The 18,858-nt window shown below is 48.9% G+C and overlaps 10 annotated features.

The window, feature by feature from the left end:
- Positions 98–387: a silencer, noted in NCBI's record as "silent region_11394". NCBI's record gives its function as "represses an Ori minimal core promoter by ATAC-STARR-seq in GM12878 lymphoblastoid cells {active_cell/tissue: GM12878}" and the evidence as "EXISTENCE:reporter gene assay evidence [ECO:0000049][PMID:35858748]".
- Positions 98–805: a biological region, named in NCBI's record as "NANOG-H3K27ac-H3K4me1 hESC enhancer GRCh37_chr2:42274042-42274546".
- Positions 301–805: an enhancer, noted in NCBI's record as "NANOG-H3K27ac-H3K4me1 hESC enhancer chr2:42274042-42274546 (GRCh37/hg19 assembly coordinates)". NCBI's record gives its function as "activates a minimal SCP1, AML or CMV promoter by ChIP-STARR-seq in naive H9 embryonic stem cells {active_cell/tissue: H9 hESC(naive)}" and the evidence as "EXISTENCE:reporter gene assay evidence [ECO:0000049][PMID:30033119]".
- Positions 558–677: an enhancer, noted in NCBI's record as "active region_15634". NCBI's record gives its function as "activates an Ori minimal core promoter by ATAC-STARR-seq in GM12878 lymphoblastoid cells {active_cell/tissue: GM12878}" and the evidence as "EXISTENCE:reporter gene assay evidence [ECO:0000049][PMID:35858748]".
- Positions 806–1,309: an enhancer, noted in NCBI's record as "NANOG-H3K27ac-H3K4me1 hESC enhancer chr2:42273538-42274041 (GRCh37/hg19 assembly coordinates)". NCBI's record gives its function as "activates a minimal SCP1, AML or CMV promoter by ChIP-STARR-seq in naive H9 embryonic stem cells {active_cell/tissue: H9 hESC(naive)}" and the evidence as "EXISTENCE:reporter gene assay evidence [ECO:0000049][PMID:30033119]".
- Positions 14,966–15,516: an enhancer, noted in NCBI's record as "OCT4-NANOG-H3K4me1 hESC enhancer chr2:42259331-42259881 (GRCh37/hg19 assembly coordinates)". NCBI's record gives its function as "activates a minimal SCP1, AML or CMV promoter by ChIP-STARR-seq in naive and primed H9 embryonic stem cells {active_cell/tissue: H9 hESC(naive and primed)}" and the evidence as "EXISTENCE:reporter gene assay evidence [ECO:0000049][PMID:30033119]".
- Positions 15,126–15,312: a silencer, noted in NCBI's record as "fragment chr2:42259535-42259721 (GRCh37/hg19 assembly coordinates)". NCBI's record gives its function as "represses an EF-1alpha promoter that drives an FKBP-Casp9 reporter gene in an ReSE screen in K562 erythroleukemia cells {active_cell/tissue: K562}" and the evidence as "EXISTENCE:reporter gene assay evidence [ECO:0000049][PMID:32094911]".
- Positions 17,836–17,935: a silencer, noted in NCBI's record as "silent region_11393". NCBI's record gives its function as "represses an Ori minimal core promoter by ATAC-STARR-seq in GM12878 lymphoblastoid cells {active_cell/tissue: GM12878}" and the evidence as "EXISTENCE:reporter gene assay evidence [ECO:0000049][PMID:35858748]".
- Positions 18,356–18,545: an enhancer, noted in NCBI's record as "active region_15633". NCBI's record gives its function as "activates an Ori minimal core promoter by ATAC-STARR-seq in GM12878 lymphoblastoid cells {active_cell/tissue: GM12878}" and the evidence as "EXISTENCE:reporter gene assay evidence [ECO:0000049][PMID:35858748]".
- Positions 18,566–18,855: an enhancer, noted in NCBI's record as "active region_15632". NCBI's record gives its function as "activates an Ori minimal core promoter by ATAC-STARR-seq in GM12878 lymphoblastoid cells {active_cell/tissue: GM12878}" and the evidence as "EXISTENCE:reporter gene assay evidence [ECO:0000049][PMID:35858748]".

Raw genomic sequence — 18,858 nt, 5'->3', positions numbered from 1 at the left:
GGAGGCGCGCGGGGGCTCCGCGCCCAACGCGAGGGCGGATAACGGGGCCGGGGCGGCCGGATAACGGGATTGGGAGGTGGATAACGGAGCCGGCCGGGCGGAGTGGGGGAAAGATAAAGGGGCGAGGCCGGCGGGTAGCGGGCTCCGGAGGGGACGAGCAGCTAAGTCCGGGGTGCGGAGATCCGAGTGATCTCAGCGCTCCCTCCTGGGACTGGGGGCCTCGGGGCGGTTTGGGCGCAGGGAAGGCGCGTGGACCCCGTCTCTCGCGGGTGGGGCCGGGGGTGGCGGCTCCTCGCTCAGCCCCGGATTCCGGATTGGGGCGATGGTGAGGGGGAAGCGGGCACAGCCGGGCCAGCACCTGCGAGCGCGCGTGGGACAGGAGCTCTAGGCATAGAGGAATGCTCGTGAGCTCGCCGAGGATGCCCTGTTCAACTCCTTTTACCAAAGTGTTTCTGATTTTCCTTGCCTCTAAAGCCCCAAATGCAGCTGGGGGTCGCTCCCTACCCCTCAAGATGCCTGGGGTCTGACGGGGTCAGCCGCGTATAAGAAACCATGTGCATGCTAGTAGCTTGGGCAAAGAGTGCGTTTGTGCCCACGGACGGCTGTCTGTGGAGTGTGTGCCTCGGCGTGTCTGAAGGGGCCATTGTGTCCGATGAAGGGAATGTGTACCTTGTGTGTAAGTTGGTGCTGACGCCACCAGAACTTCGGTCCCTCCTCCTCCCTCCCTGATTGCATCATTAGTGCTAATTGAGGGGCTTTCACACGCCAGTGCACTAGCTGTTTGGAGTGAGCTCCCCCCTCCTGGGAGAGATAAGCCGCTGCCCCTCCCCCTCGCAGCTCTCCTCTTCCCCGCCACTCTGAAACTGCCCACCTAGATCCTCTCACCTTCCTGGGCAGCTTCCTGCCTCCCTCTGGGCCAGGTTAATCTCTGTCCTCCTCACAGTGTCAGGGATTGGCTGGGGAGGGGTCAGGGAGGAGAAGGGTCCACAGCCTTTTTTCTGGGGGTGGGGGTGGGTGGGGGGGTATCCAGGGAGGGGAGATTTTCCCTGAAGAGGTCTGGCGTTCCTACAGAATGCAGTGTCTGTGATGAGAAAGGGACAGGAATTTCTGCCCTGTTCCTTTGGACATGGAAGGACCGAGGAGAGAGCTGAGTCCCTGATCTCCAGCCTATGATCCCACTGAGGTGGGCCTTCCAGCCCGGACTCCTTGTTCTCTATGGCTTGGGGAGTTGGGGCCCAGTCCGACTTGGCAAGCATGGAAAGGCAGGGTGAAGGAAGCCATGATTCCTCCGAGAACACTGGGTCTGGTGGAGTCAGGTCTGTACCGATAGAGCTGTTCTGCCCCACTCTGGGCCGTGGCTGCAGTCTGCAGGGTGTAGGGGGAAGGCTCTGAGCAGATGCCCTCTCCGCAGCCTTGCACCAGATGTCTTTGGTCTAATTAACTGTGCTGGGAAAACCAACCTGGGTTTGTAAACAGAGCTACTGGCTAAAGTCAACAGGGAACAGCAGCAAACAGCAAACCATTCCCCTCACACTCAGCCTTGGTCCAATTCAGACCCCTGGGGAAAACGGGGAGCTGGGTGGATTAGGAGGCCCCCCCCGGCCCACAGCTGAATCAGGAAAAGCCTGTCTGCCTGTGTCACCCCAATATGGCTGCTAGTTCCTTATCAGTTCCATGTCTTCTTTTCTGGGGAGGAATGAGGATTTTGGGAGGAACAGTTGCCATCCCAAGATAGGCTCTGTCCTCCTTCCAGCAATTTCCCCATAGACATCTACCCAGCCAAACGTCTCAATCCGTGAGGGAGCTGTTGTGGGGGAATATTCCCTGAAGAACTTTCTTTGGGGCTTGCTCTGCCCTTGTGTTTTGGAGAAACTTCTGAGGGTAAAACTTGGCGTTGTGAGTCTACAGCTCAGAGTAGGTGAATATAACATGAACATTGTTAAGTTTGTTACACATCATGTAGGTATTATAATAACATGTTCTGAAATTAGATAATTATTCCTGTGATATCTTTGCCAAGCTTCAGTGTTTCTGTTATGGTTTGAAAGTTCAAGGCACACAGGGGCCTGAGAAACAGGCACAAATGTGCGTGCAACACACACAGGTCCACGGAGCAGTTCAGAGCAGTAGCTCACACACAGGAACAAAGGCATCTCAGTGGCCTCCCTCGCATACTCACTGTCTCCCTCACCAGCTCTCAGACACAGACATATACAATCTGAGATGGAAATGGGTTTTTGGCTTCTGAAAGAAAGGGATTGAACTTTTTGAGCAGATTAGAGTTTCTGAATTGGCAGTTCTTGAGTTCTTAACTATATTTTGCTTGTTTGCTTTTTTTTTTTTTTTTCCTTTCTGCCACCCAGGGAGAGGAATCATTTCAAAGAATTGAAATACATGAAATGCTGCTGCAGGCCCCTGATCTGCAGTCTGCCCACCCACTCAAAGACCAGGTGGAGCCCATAGCCTGGGCCTCACAGGCCAGAGTCTGCAGGCCAGTGTCCAGCTCAGAGCCCTCAGTGCCATCTTCATACAGGAGCCATCAGCTGGCAGTCCTCCCTGTCTCCCCCAGGGCTTCTGGCAGCCCTCAGACCACAGTGTCTGTGCAAGGTCTGGAAGGCTCAGTACGTCCAATGCTCTATGCTTTCTTGCTCCCTCTATCTTTCTGCCATGCTCCTACCCCACTCAAAACACTTACTTGGATATTAATCCTTGGGAAGAGGGCAGATGGCCCAGACTCCAAAATGCTAAATTTTCTTTAAGGTGTCTTTTAAATACCTTCTTTCTGCATGTTTCTGTCACATCATCCTAGACTGTCTGAAGGGTTATTCTAGCCTCCCATCTGCCTTCTTTATTGTCCATCTTTTTCTCTGCAGGCCAAGGCTCAGACACCTCTTTTGGAGTATTACTGTCCTACTCAAAAACCTGGAGGATAAGCTGAACTGGCCTTCAGGCCTCCATGAGCTGGCCCCAGCCCCCCACCTAAGCCTGTGTTCCCCTTTCCATTCCTCCACACAAAGTCAGACTCCTCCTGCACCAGCTCCTGCCCCAGCCATCATCTGCGTTTTCCCATCAGTGCCCTCTCTCCCAGTTCCTCTTCCTGAAATACCATCTTCTAGCCTTTCCGCTTAATCTTTGCCAAGTGGTCCTTCAAGGCCTCCCAGAAAGTGTTGAGGTAGAGATAATGCTTCTGCAACTGGGGTCGTGTTGCAGAAGGTCCTTGGGATATTGAGTGTCTATTCTTAGAGTTTTGTGGAGAAAGGAAATGTACATAATACATTTCTCAGGTCTTGGAAAACTTGATGTAAAGAGCTTGGGATTTGGAATCAGGGATTCAATCTCATTAACTGAGTGACCTAGTATTTACACAAATTTCAAACAAACAAACATCTGTGACAACATCTTATACAACTTGGTTGGGTATAACTCTGCCAGGGGGCAGAAATAACTTGAACCTCTCTTTTCTTCTTTCTTTCTTCCCCTTCCTTCCTTCCTTCCTCTCTCTCTGTCTCTTTCTTTCTTTCTTTCTTTCTTCCTTCCTTCCTTCCCTCACTCCCTCCTTCCCTCCCTCCCTCCCTCCTTCCTTCCCTCCTCTCTCTCCTTCCTTCTTTTCTTTTCTTTTCGTTTCTTTTCTTTTTTCTTTTCTTTTCTGATAGGGTCTTGGGTCTTGCTCTGTTGCCCAGTCTGGAATGCAGTGGCCCGATCTCGGCTCACTACAACCTCCACCTCCCAGGCTCAAGTGATTCTCCCACCTCAGCCTCCCAAGTAGCTAGGACTATAGGTGTGAGCCACTATGCCCAGCTAATTTTTGTATTTTTTTGTAGAGACAGGATCTCACTATGTTGTGGAGGCTGTTCTTGAACTCCTGGGCTCAAGCAATCCTACCTCATCCTCCCAAAGTGTTGGAATTACAGGGTTGAACTACTTTCTTTTGTTTTTCTTTTCTTTTTTTCTTTTTCTTTTTTTTTGAGATGGAGTCTCACTCTGTCACCCAGGGCAGTGGCGCGATCTTGGCTCACTGCCACCTCCACCTCCTGGGTTCAAGCGATTCTTGTGCTTCAGCCTCCTGAGTAGCTGGGATTATAGGCGCTGGCCATCACGTGTGGCTAATTTTTGTATTTCTAGTAGAGACAGGGTTTCACCATGTTGGCCAGGCTGGTTTCAAACTCCTGACCTCAAGTGATCTGCCCACTTTGGCCTCCCAAAGTGCTGGGATTACAGGTGTGAGCCACTGCGCCCGGCTTGAACCACTTTCTATCCTGGTTCCCATAGGTGAAATCTCTTAACCTCCTGGGCTCTTTTGTGCCTGGAATTTCCCCTTTTTCCCAAATCAGCAAACCAGTAGTCCATCACAGGAGGCCTCACCACTTTCGCTACACTGTGGTAAGCTTCAGAGGGAAGACCATGAATCAGGACCTGGGCTGAACCTCCTGATGCCAGAGTCTGAGAGCAGGGACAGCCCCAGCTTGTCCTCCCTGGAGCAAGGCTGTAGGGGAGGGGACTGATTCTGAAAAGAGGGGGGAAAAGGGTGGAGCTAGGCAGCCCGCTCCTCCACCCCCACCTCCCTCAGGTAGGAAGTGAAGCTGACATTTCCAAAATATAAAAAACAGATGATGAAGGTCAGGTTTCCCGCATGCTGGAGAGCGGGAGCCCCAAGGCAGAGTCCCCAAAAAATTATCGGAGGCAGAGACAGAGGAGAGAGCAAGAGAGTGTGCAAGTGTGAGTGCAGAGATAGATAAATATGAAGAAACATATAGACAAAAAATTCTGAATCCTGAGAAAAGTAGTCAAACAAAGACGGAGGAAGCCATGGCTCAGGAGAGATGCTTCCACCCGTTTCTGGAAAAGAGCTTAGTTCCCCTCCATGGGTTTCAGGATGGGAATATGAGCCATTTTAGCTCCACGACCGTCAGAGGGGGAGGCCCTCCTGGAACCCAGAAACCAAAAGGCTCTGTGGGCTCTCAGAGCCCTCACCGCCTGGGCTGGCTTCTCTATCTCTGCCTCGGAGTCTGTGGCCCCCAGAGTCTCTCTCAGACCCCTTCCTGTGCCTGGCTCTCTCTTCCTCCTGCCTCCCTCCTACTCAGCCTCACCCGCCAGTCAAAGAGATGCTCTGTGACACTTTGTCTTTCTGTCTCTTTTCTGGCTTTCTGAGCTGTGTCCCCCTCCTTCACTGTTTCTTGAGATTGGAGGAGCTGGGGGTGGGGCTGAGGACTAGAGAGGGGGTTGGTGGACCCAGAGAAGGCTTAGAGGTACCTGTTTAAAGCTCTCACTGGAGAGAAGGGGTGAGGGGGCAGCCTTGGGGTGGGGACCCTGTGGTGATTGGGGACTGTGTTCTGGAGACTCTACAGGGGAGTGGGAAAGGTGTGGGCTGCTCCCCTGGGCCTCTGTAGTCCCTGCCAGATGACTACAGCAGGTAGATGAGCAGCAGGTAGAGGGATGGAGAGTTGGCCATCAATCAGCGAGTGACAGATGGACTCAGGCGGCTAAGGTTGATGGAGCAGAGGCCTTTGTCTTTGTCCAGAAGTGATGGGGATGGACGCATAGGGGCTGGGTGGTTAGGAGTGAACATATCAGACCTTTTCTGACAAAGCCAAATGTACCCTGAGTCAATGGGGCCATGTTTCTAGGCCATGGTCAAGTAGAAAGAAGCAGTTTATTTCAAGTGGCCTCAGGGCTGCAGTTTGGGAAATGGAAAGAAAAGAGGAAGAAAAGAGGGGCTGTTGAGTTTGTACCTTTCGTTCTGAACCTCTAGGGGGCTGACAATTCTCTCCTTCCCTGCGTCCCCCAGGAGCCCAGCCTGGACCCAAACCCAGAAGAAAGACTGCTCCTTACAGTTAAGAAGGCCTTGCCCCTGCTTCTGCCCTCAGGAGCTTATAGTGTAATTGGAAAGATTTGCCCCAAACCATCAGGGGCTAATACAAAGGAGAATGTGGAAGATGGGGTAGGTCGTGGGGCGGGAGTGGACAGGCAGGAAAGAACTCAGAAAGGGCTGGTCCCTTCCTGGAACCCTGATGGAGAACTATGGTGTCCTGAAAGCCTGCTGTGCACCAGGAGCTGTCTAACCTCTTGACACATACTGTGAGGGCAGAATGATTATACCCATTGTATAGATGAAGAAATTGAGGTTCAACTGTCATACCAATCCTAAGAGGCAGAGAAATGAAGAAGCAGTGACTCGGGCCCCGATTCAGGGTCTTTTTTCAGCTTTTTGTTGGTTTGAGAAAATAGAAAATTCCAGTCAAAGGGAGAGGCAGAGAAGCAAATACATGTCACCAATGGGAACCAACATGGAAGTTCATTAAGGTCATTTTTGCCTCCAAGCAACAACGTTTGGTCATAAAGATTTATTATTTTATTGTTCTTGTTAATACTAATAAAAAGCACACTTATTAAATGCCTTTCATTATCACTTAATCCACTTACCACCTCTAGGAGATAAATACTGTTATTATCTTCAATTTTCAAGATGAGAAAATTGACCCAAGAGAGGTTAGTTAGGTAAGAAGGCCAAAGAGACTGTTAGGAGGCAGAGCCCAAATTTGGATGCAGATGCCTCTGACCGCAGAGCTTGTGTTCTTCCTGGTTCTGTCCTGCATTTTAGTTCATGGTCTAAGCTGGGTTGGGCTTCGTTCAGCTACAAAAATCCCAAGGTCAGTCTTTCCAAGCCCAGCGCTGCAATCGTGGTTCAAAGATAAGTGTCTGACGATGTGTAAGCCTTTAAAGGATAGAGGCAGGCCCTCCTGGAGCAGTAGGGGAAAAAAGAGGGAGACAGGAAGAGGCACATTGAAGAGAATCCTCCCCTGTCCCCCCATAAAGAAAACCACAGACTCAGGAGCTAGGACCAGACACCTATGAAGTGTTTCTCGGAGACTCCAGAGGGCGCTGGGGGGAGAGAGAAGAAATCAGGAGTGATGGTTTATAAAGGGTTAACAACACCCTGGGAGTCTGTGGAATTAAAATAATTATTTGAAAAGTTCCAAAAAGCACAAAAAAGGAATAAAAATTACACAAAATCCCTCCATTAAAAGAGATTATCTGCAGTAAAGTGTGCGAACTACCTCGTCTGCCCCTCCAACCCCAACCCCAGAGGTAACCTCTGTTAACCATGTGGTGTGTAAAGGCTCTCTTAGATCCCACACGCACTCATCATCTCCTTCCCTCCACCACCGTCCCATGGTGATTGTTGTTTCTGTACCACCAGCTTCAAGCTTAGACATCTTGGAGTCTCTTTGATGTTTCCAAACTCAAATTCAAGTCCTGTGCTTTAAAAAAATATCTCTTGGATTTCCTCCGTTTTTCCTCATTGCCGTCCTCCCAAGTCTTGGCTCTTCCTCTCACGTCTGCTCTGTTGATTGGTTTCCTAAATGTTCTCTTCCCACCTCGAAGCGTGTATGGGCACCAGATTCATCTGCCAACGACATTGCTTCCAACACATCATTTTCCTGTTCTAAAATCTTTGATGATTCCCCATCATTTGGAGGATAATTTAGCCTGGCATTTAAAGTCCGTTGCAACCTACCTCTTCACTTCTTGTATTCACAAGTGCTTCCTGACTCTGTTTTGAAGCCTGGCTGGTTGCCTTACTAATCTTAGAGCAAACTCTGCAACTCTTGCCTGACGATGACCTTTCTCCACCTAGCCAAAGCTTGTCCATCCTTCAAGGCCTATCTCAAGGCTTTCTTTTTCTTTCCTTCTTCTTCTTCTTCTTTTTTTTGAGATGGAGTCTCACTCTGTTGCCCAGGCTGGAGTGCAGTGGCATAATCTCGGCTTACTGCAACCTTTGCCTCCCAGGTTCAAGTGATTCTCCTGCCTCAGCCTCCTGAGTAGCTGGGATTACAGGCGCCCGCCACCACGCCTGGCTAATTTTTGTATTTTTAGTAGAGGCAGGGTTTCACCATGTTGGCCAGGCTGGTCTTGAACTCCTGACCTCAGGTGATCCACCTGCCTTGGCCTCCCAAAGTGCTAGGATTACAGGTGTGAGTCACTGTGCCCAGCCTCAAGTCTTTCTTTTTCCTGAAAGCCTTCCATGACCTCTCTAGTCCACATCCATTGCTTCTTTCCAAAATGCCTGAACACAAGAAGGCTATGCTTCATGGTTTAGAGAGGCCCCTTACTGAAAGGGATCTTGGGTATGGGTATAGAATAGTAGTTCCCAGCTTAGGTCCCAAAGGTTTCCAGGAGTCTACAAATGTGTTGGGAGGAGGATGGCTACCAGCTATTGTCAATATTCCAGAAAGCCTATAGGAAATTATATGTATTTCACAATAAGCCGGTCCAGTCAAAAGAAATGCCATTCAAGAGAAATGTTAACTTTCTTCGCCTATGGCCAGAATTATATCATGCATTGGGCATCTCATCTTGACAAATGACATTGGTTTTTCCTTAAGAAAAATTTGGAAATAGACTGGGCATGGTGGCTCACACCTATAATCCTAGCACTTTGGGAAGCCAAGGTGAAAGGATTGAGCCTGGGCAACATAATAAGACCCCATCTCTGTAAAAAATTTAAAAAGTAGCCTAGTGTGGGGGTGCATACCTGTAGTCCCAGCTATATGGGAGGCTGAGGTGGGAGGATCACTTGAGCCCAAAAGTTTGAGTTTGAGGCTGCTGTGAACCATCATAGTGCCATTGAGCTCCAGCTCCAGCCTGGGCAATAGAGCAAGATCTTCATTTCTGAAAAAAAAAAAAAGAAAAATGGGGAGATAAGTTTGTTGTTATGTAAATGTACCCAGGTAGGTGGGCTCTTTCAAAATCTGGGGTTTGTGGGGCAGGAGGATGAATAAAAGGGACCCTTTAAAATTATGTTTAAAAATGTTTTTTAGAGATGGGGTCTTGCTCTATTGCCCAGGCTGGAGTTCACTGACATGATCACAGATCACAGCAGCCTTGAACTCCTCAAGCAGTCCTCAAGAGATTCTCCTGCCTTGGCCTTCCAAAGCATTGGGAATAGAGGTGTGAGCCACTGTACTCAGCATAAAAGGGATTATTGGTGGTGAAAAAGTCGGAGTCACTGGTCTCAACCAATCTCCTTACCAAAGCAGGACTCTTCCCTAATGGACAGACAGCTCAATCACTCCTTGTGATGGGCAGCCCTATGTACCTGTCCATTGCAACACTCATTGTGGTTGTGATTTCTCTCATTTATGGTTTGTTTGATTAAAATTAGTCTACTCTATAAACTTCATGAGGGCAGGGCCCTGTTTGATTTCTTCTCAACATACATTCCCTATCGTCTGGCACAGGGTCAAGGCCCATAGGCAATTAGTCAATATTTGTTATTTTCTGTTTCACAAGGCTGTCAGAAAAAGTAAATGTATGTAAAAGTGTTTTGTAAACTATAAATCCGGGCCTATAACAATCTCAGGAGCAGTTGTTATTACTGTTTCTTCAATTAAATGTTCATCTCCTGAATGGACCCAGATATGTACCCCCCATCCCCTCCCCTTCACTCTACCTCCTTAGCTTGGTAACAAATGACTTAGTATGTAGACTGAGCTTTTGTTCGTTTGTTTTTCTCTTCTCTTTTAATCTCTCTCTTGTCAAGATAAACAATAATCTGACCAAGGCTGGGCACGATGGTGCACATCTGTAATCTCAGCATTTTGGGAGCCAAAGTGGGAGCATCACTTGAACCCAGGAGTTTGAGACCAGGCTGGGCAACATAATGAGACCCTGTCTCTAAAAAAAAAAAAAATAAATAACTGGGTATGGTAGTGAGCCTGTAGTCCCTGCTACTTAGGAGGCTAAGGCAGGAGGATCGCTTGAGCCCAGGAGTTTGAGGCTGCAGTGAGCCATGATGGAGCCCCTGTACTCCAGCCTGGGTAACAGAGTGAGACCCTTCTCTAAAAACAAAACAAACAAAAACAAAAAACCTGACTAAATGTAGTTCCCCCAAAGTGTTGACCTTTCCCTTCCCTCTCATTCCCTTCCCCACATTCCATCCTACCTTATTGATCATTGACTCTGTGCTAGACACCAAGTGAATAACCAAAAACACAAAGATGAATGATGCAGCCTTAGTCCTGAGGCATTTCTTGAAACATTCTTGCTGAAAGAGGTCTTTGAGGCCCCTCCCTCTATCACACTCCTCTGATTACTTAGTAGTTTGGTGATGCTCCTCTCCAAATGCAGCCCCAGGATCTCTGCACTTGATGCTCCCTCTGCCTGGAAAGGTCTTCTGAGCCCTCAGACCTTCCTGTGTCTGGCTTCTCCGTATTCAGGCTCAAATGTCATCTCATCAGACAGGACTGATGGCCCACAGGCAATTAGTCAATATTTTTTATTTTGTATTTCTGGTCACTACACCACATTGCTCTGTTTTATGTTCTCAGAGCACTTAACATTCTCAGAAAGTATCTTACTACGTCTGTCGTATTTTTACTTTTTTGTTGTTAGTCTTTCTTCATTAGAATGTAAGCACCACGAGAGGAGGGTCTTTGTTTTGTTCACCGATGTATGCTCCAAGAACCAAGCAGTGGCAGCATATAGTAGGTGCTCAGTAATAAATGTAGAAGGACTGAACATGACATTCCAGAGATCTTCTGCCAACTCAAGCTGAGCCCTTCCCCTCCTGTGTTTTGGACATCATGCATCTAGTGATACACTCATCCTCTGATTTTTTTTTTTCAGGGATATCATTCTTGTATCAGAGGCTAAATGGCAAGTGTCTCTTCACCAGCAGAAGAAAATCCTCTCCTCTGTCTTTTTTTTTTCTTTTTGAGACGGAGTCTCACTCGGTCGCCCAGGCTGGAGTGCAGTGGTGCGATCTCGGTTCCCTGCAAGCTCCGCCTCCTGGGTTCACACCATTCTCCTGGCTCAGCCTCCTGAGTAGCTGGGACTACAGGCACCCGCCACCATGCCAGGCTAATTTTTTGTATTTTTTTTTTTTAGTAGAGATGGGGTTTCACTGTGTTAGCCAGGATGGTCTCGATCACCTGACCTCGTGATCCGCCCATCTCAGCCTCCCAAAGTGCTGGGATTGCAGGCATGAGCCACCGTGCCTGGCCCCTCTCCTCTGGAGTAACCAAACCCAGCATCTTTATCAGGAGCTGGGTTTCCTGTTTCCTGCAACTGTGACCCGCCCTGCTCTTCAGAATTTACCTGCCTTGTGTCGTATTTGCACAGGGCTGTCCTTTGTGACTTTGAAGGTGACAATCAGTTAATCCAATAACAGAATCCTGCTAAAGTGCTAACGGGAAAGGGTGAAAAAAAGGCACCCATATCCCTCCCTTCTGACTCAGGTAACATCTGTGCATTTAACAGGGCCCTTCTGGAGACAATTAAATAAATGCTTTATTGAAACAATAAAATTAATAGGGGTCTCATGGAACTCAATGAAAGGTTTTTAAAAATTAACTTCATTGTTTTTTAAGCTTCCAATCAAGCTTTGCGAGGCTAGGGTTTGGGCAGGGCCAGATTCTCGTTAAAACAGGTCTCTGCGCAAAGGGCTGCACATCAGGGGTTGGGAGCCCAGGCCTGAGGTTTCCATGGGGAAGAGCCACTGCCACTGTTCTGAGGGCCTGGCTCTAACAGGCTCCCCCAGTAACAGGTAAGGTTTTTCTAAATCATAGGTCTGATTCTGTTCCTGGGGCACTGTGACCTTGTACGTTTATAAATCCCAGATCGCATGGGATTTGGGTGCCCTAGATTAGGTGTCCCATCAAAAGAAATGTCATGATGATATTTGTGATGTGAGTGAATAAAACGATGAATGCTGGGGACACTCACTCTGCCAGGAAGTGGGCAGGACATCGGTCTGGTCTGTGTTTGTCTGGATCCAGGCTTACTGACCCCACCACATTGCTCCACACCCCCTTCCCAGCCTATAACCCCCGGCTAGTCATTTCTCCCTAGCAATCCTTTTCAGCCTCAAGAAACGCCTAAGAAGTCAGAGCTTGTCAAATCAGAAGGCCAGAGATTTTGGAAAACCTGTGGGTGGTTCTGCTGGTGGAGGCCAGGGAGCAGGTGTTGATGTGGGACCAGGGACTGCCTCATGAAGCATTTGCCAGGCTTAGGGGATGATGGGACCCTGGACAGGGAAACTCTTGTGGAAGAAGTGGTTCTGTGTCCAGATGGATGGAGCTGGCATAAGACTGTCTTTGGGACTCCTCATTATTCCTATCAAGGTAGCATGTTGATTCAAACCATCTGTGGGCTTGTGAGGTCTGATTAGACTTGGCGTTTCCAACCCTGGGCTCCCGACTTACGCCCTATGTGAGTGTGAGGAGTAGGCTGAGGGTGTGGTTGAACTTGGGGGTGGACCCTCTCTCCAAGCCCCAGACTCCTGGCCCCCAGTGACTCAGGGCACAGGCAGCTCCAGGCCTCTCCCCTCCCCTGGTCTGGTCGGCTAATAGGCACTGGGAGGGGTTCTGAGCTGAAAGTCAGAGGCTTCTGCTCTCAACTCAGGCCTAAACTACTTATGTGACTTTGAGCAAGTTATTTAGCTTTTCTGGGTCTCAGTTTTTTTCGTCTGCAAAATGGGGATAATGACACCTGTGGTAGTTGTTTTGCAGATCAAATGAGGCATAGGTGTGAATCACTTTGAAGTGCATGAAGAACAAATTATACAAAGGTTGTTTTTGTTAATGATGTTCCCAGTCTCAATGAACAGGGCCTTCCTACCCTGGAGTTACTGTTCCCTGAGTACTGGGTTCAGGATATCTTTTGACTCTGGAAGAGAGAATGAAGTTTTTGGGGGATTTACTTATTAACTCCTCTGGCTCCCCACTTTCCCTCAAGGGCAGCTTCCATTCCCCTTCCCCCCTCCACCACCCTTCTGTCCTCCCAGACGAGAGATTTTGGAGGTGTCTTTGACTCCTTCCTATATTATCTCATATATATTCTGTCAACACACCTTGTTTCTTCCTTTAAAATCTATCCCAGACTTACCTTCTCTTTCCTAGTCCCACTGCCATCATCTTAGTCTAAGCCATAATTATCTGAGTTTCTGCTGGAGCTCCTCAGCTGGTCTTTCCACCTTTGCTCTTTCTCCCCTCCATGACTTCCTGCATGGGGCTACCATATTAATCTGCCCAAGAGCCACCTTTTATTCGGTCACTTCCTGGCTCAAGATGGCCTAGTGGCTCCTTAATGATCTCATCAGGGCCATTTTCCCTATGTGCTTTTGTCAGAGATGTTTGAACCAGAGCAACTCCATCTAGAATAGGGACTGGGTTAAATAAGGCTGAGATCTACTGGGTTGCATTCCCAGGAGGTTAGGCATTCTAAGTCATCGGATAAGATAGGAGGTCGGCACAAAATACACATCATAAAGACCTTGCTGATAAAACAGTTTGCAGTAAAGAAGCTGGCCAAATCCCACCAAAACCAAGATGGTGACGAGAGTGTCCTCTGGTCATCCTCATGGCTCATTATATGCTAGTTATAATACATTAGTATGCTAAGAGACACTCCCACCAGAGCCATGACAGTTTACAAACGTCGTGGCAACCTCAGGAAGTTACCCCATATGGTCTAAAAAAGGGAGAAACCCTCAGCTCCAGGAATTGCCCACCCCTTTCCCGGAAAACTCATGAATAATCCACCCCTTTTTTAGCATATAATCAAGAAATAACTGTAAGTATCCTTAGTCCAGCAGCCCAAGCTGCTGCTCTGCCTATGGAATAGCCATTCTTTATTCCTTAAATTTTTTTTTTTTTTTTTGAGATAGAGTTTGGCTCTGTTGCCTAGGCTGGAGTGCAGTGGCATGATCTCCGCTCACTGCAATCTGTGCATCCTGGGTTCAGGTGATTTTCCTGCCTCAGCCTCCTGAGTAGCTGGGACTACAGGCACGCGCTACCATGCCCCGCTAATTTTTTGTATTTTTAGTGGAGATGGGGATTTACCGTGTTGGCCAGGCTGGTCTCAAACTCCTGACCTCAAATGATTCGCCTGTCTCTGCCTCCCAAAATGCTGGGATTACAGGTGTGAGCCACCGTGCCCAGCCTGCTCCTTTACTTTCTTAATAAACTTGCGTTCACTTTACAGTATGGACTCGCCCCAAATTATTTCTTTTTTTTTTTTTTGAGACGGAGTCTCGCTCTGTCGCCCAGGCTGGAGTGCAGTGGCGGGATCTCGGCTCACTGCAAGCTCCGCCTCCCGGGTTCACGCCATTCTCCTGCCTCAGCCTCCCAAGTAGCTGGGACTACAGGCGCCCGCCACCATGCCCGGCTAATTTTTTGTATTTTTAGTAGAGACGGGGTTTCACCGTTCTAGCCGGGATGGTCTCGATCTCCTGACCTCGTGATCCGCCCGCCTCGGCCTCCCAAAGTGCTGGGATTACAGGCGTGAGCCACCGCGCCCGGCCCCAAATTATTTCTTGTGAGAGATACAAGAACCCTCTCTTGGGGTCTGAATTGGGACCTTTTTCCGTTAACACTTTCAAAGTCTTTCACTCCTCTGTTCCATCTGCTGTACCCAACCTCATTTCCCTTAGTTCGCTTACACGCACCCTTCTCCATAACCAGACCCGCTTCCTCCAAAGAAGCTGTGTCCATTCCTTCTGTGCCTTTGCACATTCCATTTACTCTGCTTGGCGTGGGAGTACCCTCCCCTAGTCTTTCTGCCAGTCTCCCCAGTCTGCAGCATCCAGCTCAGGTCCCAGGCAGCCACCCCCAGTATTTTCTTAGAAGATTGTCTTATGGACCTATCTCCCCACTCTATTTATCCTAAGTTCTTAGTGCTTGTATTGCAGGACTGATTGTGTGTGTGTGTGTGTGTGTGTGTGTGTGTGTGTATGTGTGACGGAGTTTCACTCTTTTGCCCAGGCTGGCGTGAAGTGGTGCGATCTGGGCTCAATACAACTTCCGCCCCCGCCCCCGCCCCCACCCCCGGGTTCAAGCGATTCTCCTGCCTCGATCCACCCACCTCATCCTCCCAAAGTGCTAGGATTACAGGCGTGAGCTACCGCACCCAGCCTGCAGGACTGATTTAATATCAATTATCTTTCATTCTTCTCCCCCTGCCCTGTTTTATCTAGATTATGAACTGGTTGAGGGCTGAGACTCTTTCTGTCTTTCCTATAACGTCGAGTAGAAGGCCAAATGTCCAGTAAAATCTTTGTGGACTAGGTGCTGAAAGAGGTCTGGTTTGCACATGGAGACCAAGTGTGGAGAATCTCTATTCCAAATAGAGATTTTTTTTTGGGCCCCCTCCACTCCTTTCTCAGCTCCCCTCCCCCTTCCTTGAGACTCTGCCCCCGCTGCTATGTCTTCATCCATCAGTAATAAAGCGGGAACAATAGGGGGTTTCTTTCTAATTAAAGGGAGCAGTTAGTGTTTCCACTTCAAAGCCCTGAGAGAGAAGACTTTTGTTTCTTGGGCCTGGGAGCTCTGGGAGCCCCGATTGGATTGGGAAGTGGAGCTCCAGACCCAGCCAAGCATTAAGCTCGTGAACCTGAGAGCCCCCCATTTGCAGGCAGAGAAGCTCAAATTTAAAACAACAACGTAATTTGGTAACTTCGGCTCTGATAAAACAGTTGGGGGAATTCCTTCTCTCCTAGCGTCTGAAGCCAATGTTATTACAGGTGTGTGCTTGTCTCTCTCACACCCTTCCCAGCCTCTGTCATCCCAACACACACAGCACACACATGTGCCACACCATGCACTCTCATGTATGTGGCACTCAAAATCACATGGTGCACACTTAGTGGGTCCGTCCCCACACTCTCGTTCCTGGAGTCCTCTGGTCCACACTCTCCCACACACCCACACCAAGTTACTCTCACACATGTCATCTCTCCGCCCTCAATGTCCAGGAACAAAGGTCTCTGGCTTGAGAACTTTCCATTCTCTATTCAGTTCCAAGTCAGCTTGGCAGAGATGTGTTCTCTTCCTCCAACTTACACCAGCTACAGACTGATCCTCTAACCTAGCCCCAGACTGATTCCCACCCTGATGATCAATTGGGTCTCATCTCTGACCACATCCTGAGACCTAAGTGGACACAGATGGTGCCCTACCTGTAGTCATAATCTGAGACTCAACAAAGAGCATAACATTTGTCTTTGGTCTAACAAATCCTTTCACAAATTTGACTCATTGATCATAAAGGAGGTGGGAAGAGTTTTTGGCTCAGCTCCACTGCTGAAACTCTTCAGAGCACACATCATCCATCTATCCAGCCAGCCAGCCATCCCATATATTGAGCACCTATTCTTTGCCATGCTGTGGTAAGCAAGGCTAAGGTGCTGTCCCCAGGTACCTTAGTGTCAGAATAATAGCATGTGCTTTGGCATTTTACAATCCTGTGTTCAAGGTTCCCTTCTTTGATTTACTAGCTGGGTCACTGTGGACAAGTTACTTGATCTTTCTCAGTCTCAACTTCCTCATGGGTAAATTGGGTATAATAATATGAATGACCTCTAGGATGTTAAAAGGATTAAATGAGGTCATCTCTCAAGGGCTAACAAGTGCCTGGCACATAGAACATGCTCAGTAGATAATAATGATCATTCATTTAGTTATTCATTCTGGTAGGGATAAAGATATAAACACCTACAATTACAGAACAGCATGATAAAAGCTGCGCTGGTTACATGTACCAGATGAAGGGGGAAACTGGAAAGAGACTCTGGGTCTTCTGGAGACTGAATGGGGAACCCAGAAAGAGACTCTGGGTCTGCTGGGGACTGAAAGGGGAACCCAGAAAGAGACTCTGGGTCTTCTGGGGACTGAAGGGGGAACCCAGAAATAGGCTCTGGGTCTGCTGGGCACTGGGGAAGTCTGGAAGGCTCTGGAGATGGGGAGGGAGGCAGCCCAGGGACAGAGGCTTGAGGGAGTAGGAGCTTGCTTGGCTGATCAGACTCACTGGGTCCAGGAGGAGGAAATAAGCATGTTCCACTGAGGCCAAGAATGGCATCCCCCTGCAGACTAAAGACAGTGTATTTTGAAGACCCCAGAGAGGCCCTATTCCCATGACACACTTAATCAGCACATGCCACTAACTGATGAAGGCGGGTAACATTTTGAGCATCCCTGGGTCTCAAAGGGCATTTGATGATGGTGATGGATGGTGATTGCGGTGAAGCAATGGCATGATTAGGAAACGATGGCTGAGGGCTTTGGGCTGCACATCTTCCCTTTGCTCTGACCTTGCCTTCTCCTCTCCTTTTCTTTCCTGATCTCCCCCCTGCCTGCCTTTCTTCGCTCTCCTTTGTCTCTGTGGAGCGCAGAGGGGCACCGTTGTCCTCGCTGCTTGATTCCCTTTTCCCCCCAAGGCCCCTCTGGTCTGGGGTCTGCGGGGCTTTTCTGCACACGTGATCCCAATGGCGTGGGGCATGGCCATCCTGCTGTGGCCTGCTTGCTCCCCTGATTATTTCTCCTTAATTGAGCGTAAAGAATGTGAGGAATGTGGAGTAGACTGCCTGAGGAGGGCTGCTGCAGCCGACCCCCTCGGGGATCAGGGGATCCGGATTCTGGGCCCTGGGATGGGAGAACTGCAGATGGCCCGCTGAGCCCCACATCGTGTGCGTGTCCATTTCTGGCGCCCCAGCCCTTCCCCACGAGGGTGGCCTGCTTCTCCAGACTTGATTTGGTCCGTTCTCTGCTCTGGGGCTTGCTTCTCCCTGCTTTCTGCCACAGAGAATTTCACTTCTTTGTAAAACTGGCCATAGTCTCTTCTCTTCCTGGAAGCCTTCCTTTGTTTAAACCCATCTGACATGAATAATCCTTCTAAATCTATAATTCCAGGTGGAAGTCTAAAAGCGATTCCTTCTTCTCTTAAGATAAAGGAGGAAGCAATGTTTCTGGCTGCCCTTTGACCTTGCTGGGCTGCTGAAATCCTGTTCCCTGGGCTGTGAGAAGGTGTGAGAGCTGGGGTGAACCCAGATGCTGGCTTGTCAGGAAGGCAGCCAGGGGAGTCTCAGCTGAGCACTGTGACTGCATGTGTGCCTCCTCTTTCCTCTGCCCACTCAGCGAATGTCAGGTCCAGCCCTCCTGTCTCCTCAGGTGGGAGGAGAAAGTGTAGGTTGAGGGCTCAGACCTGGGTTCCTATCCTGGCCCTGTCATCTATCAACTCTGTAACCTCAGGTAAATTTTTTACTCTCTCTCAGGTGGTTTCCTCACGTTCAAGATGTTGGTGGTATTTTCTCACTTGTAGGGTTGTAGAGATGAAATTAAATGTGCTAAAGTATATAAAGACTGGGCATAGTAGCTCACGCCTGTAATCCCAGCACTTTGGGAGGTTGAAGCGGGAGCATAGCTTGAGCTCAGGAGTTTGAGACTAGCCTGGGCAACATGGCGAAACCTCATCTCTTAAAAAAAAAAAAAAAGCTGGATTTGATGGCATGTGCTTGTGATTCCAGTTACTCAGGAGGCTGCAGTAAGCAGTGATCATGCCACTGCACTTTAGCCTGGGTGACAACATAAGACTCTGTCTCTGTCTCTCTTTCTCTCTCTCTCTCTGTATATATATATGAAGCACCTAGCAGACAAGTATTTGTTTGGTTCATTGGAGATGACTGGAAGAAGAGGATTACTTTTTCTAAAAGAGGTCATTGCAGAAAGCCTTCTCTAGGGATCCCCACGAAGAGACAGGGTCTTGCTGAAAAACCCAGTCCTAGGCCGTCCACTCAGAGGCAGGTTGATCTGAGAGCTGCACTCTGCGAGCGAATAGGTCTATGTAGCATGCAGACAAGAAGTGTGTTAGTTGGGGGACTTGGCAAGCTCAGCACTGTGGCTGTGGCTCCTTAGCGGAGGACAGGGACAGCTGTCTTCTTCCACCTCCCCTCTCCTGAGGCCTGACCATAGGAAATGACTGATTCTGCAATAGGAGGGGTTCAGGCTATATTTAAAGAAGAACTTCCTGCCCAGGAAAGATGTTCTATGTTGAGATAGCTAATCCTCCCAAAATAGCAGAGTGTGG

Source organism: Homo sapiens, chromosome 2 (assembly GCF_000001405.40).
Source record: "Homo sapiens chromosome 2, GRCh38.p14 Primary Assembly".
Taxonomy (NCBI): Eukaryota; Metazoa; Chordata; class Mammalia; order Primates; family Hominidae; genus Homo; species Homo sapiens.
Note: the sequence above shows the minus strand (reverse complement) of the source record. Positions and strands in the feature narration are given on the sequence as shown.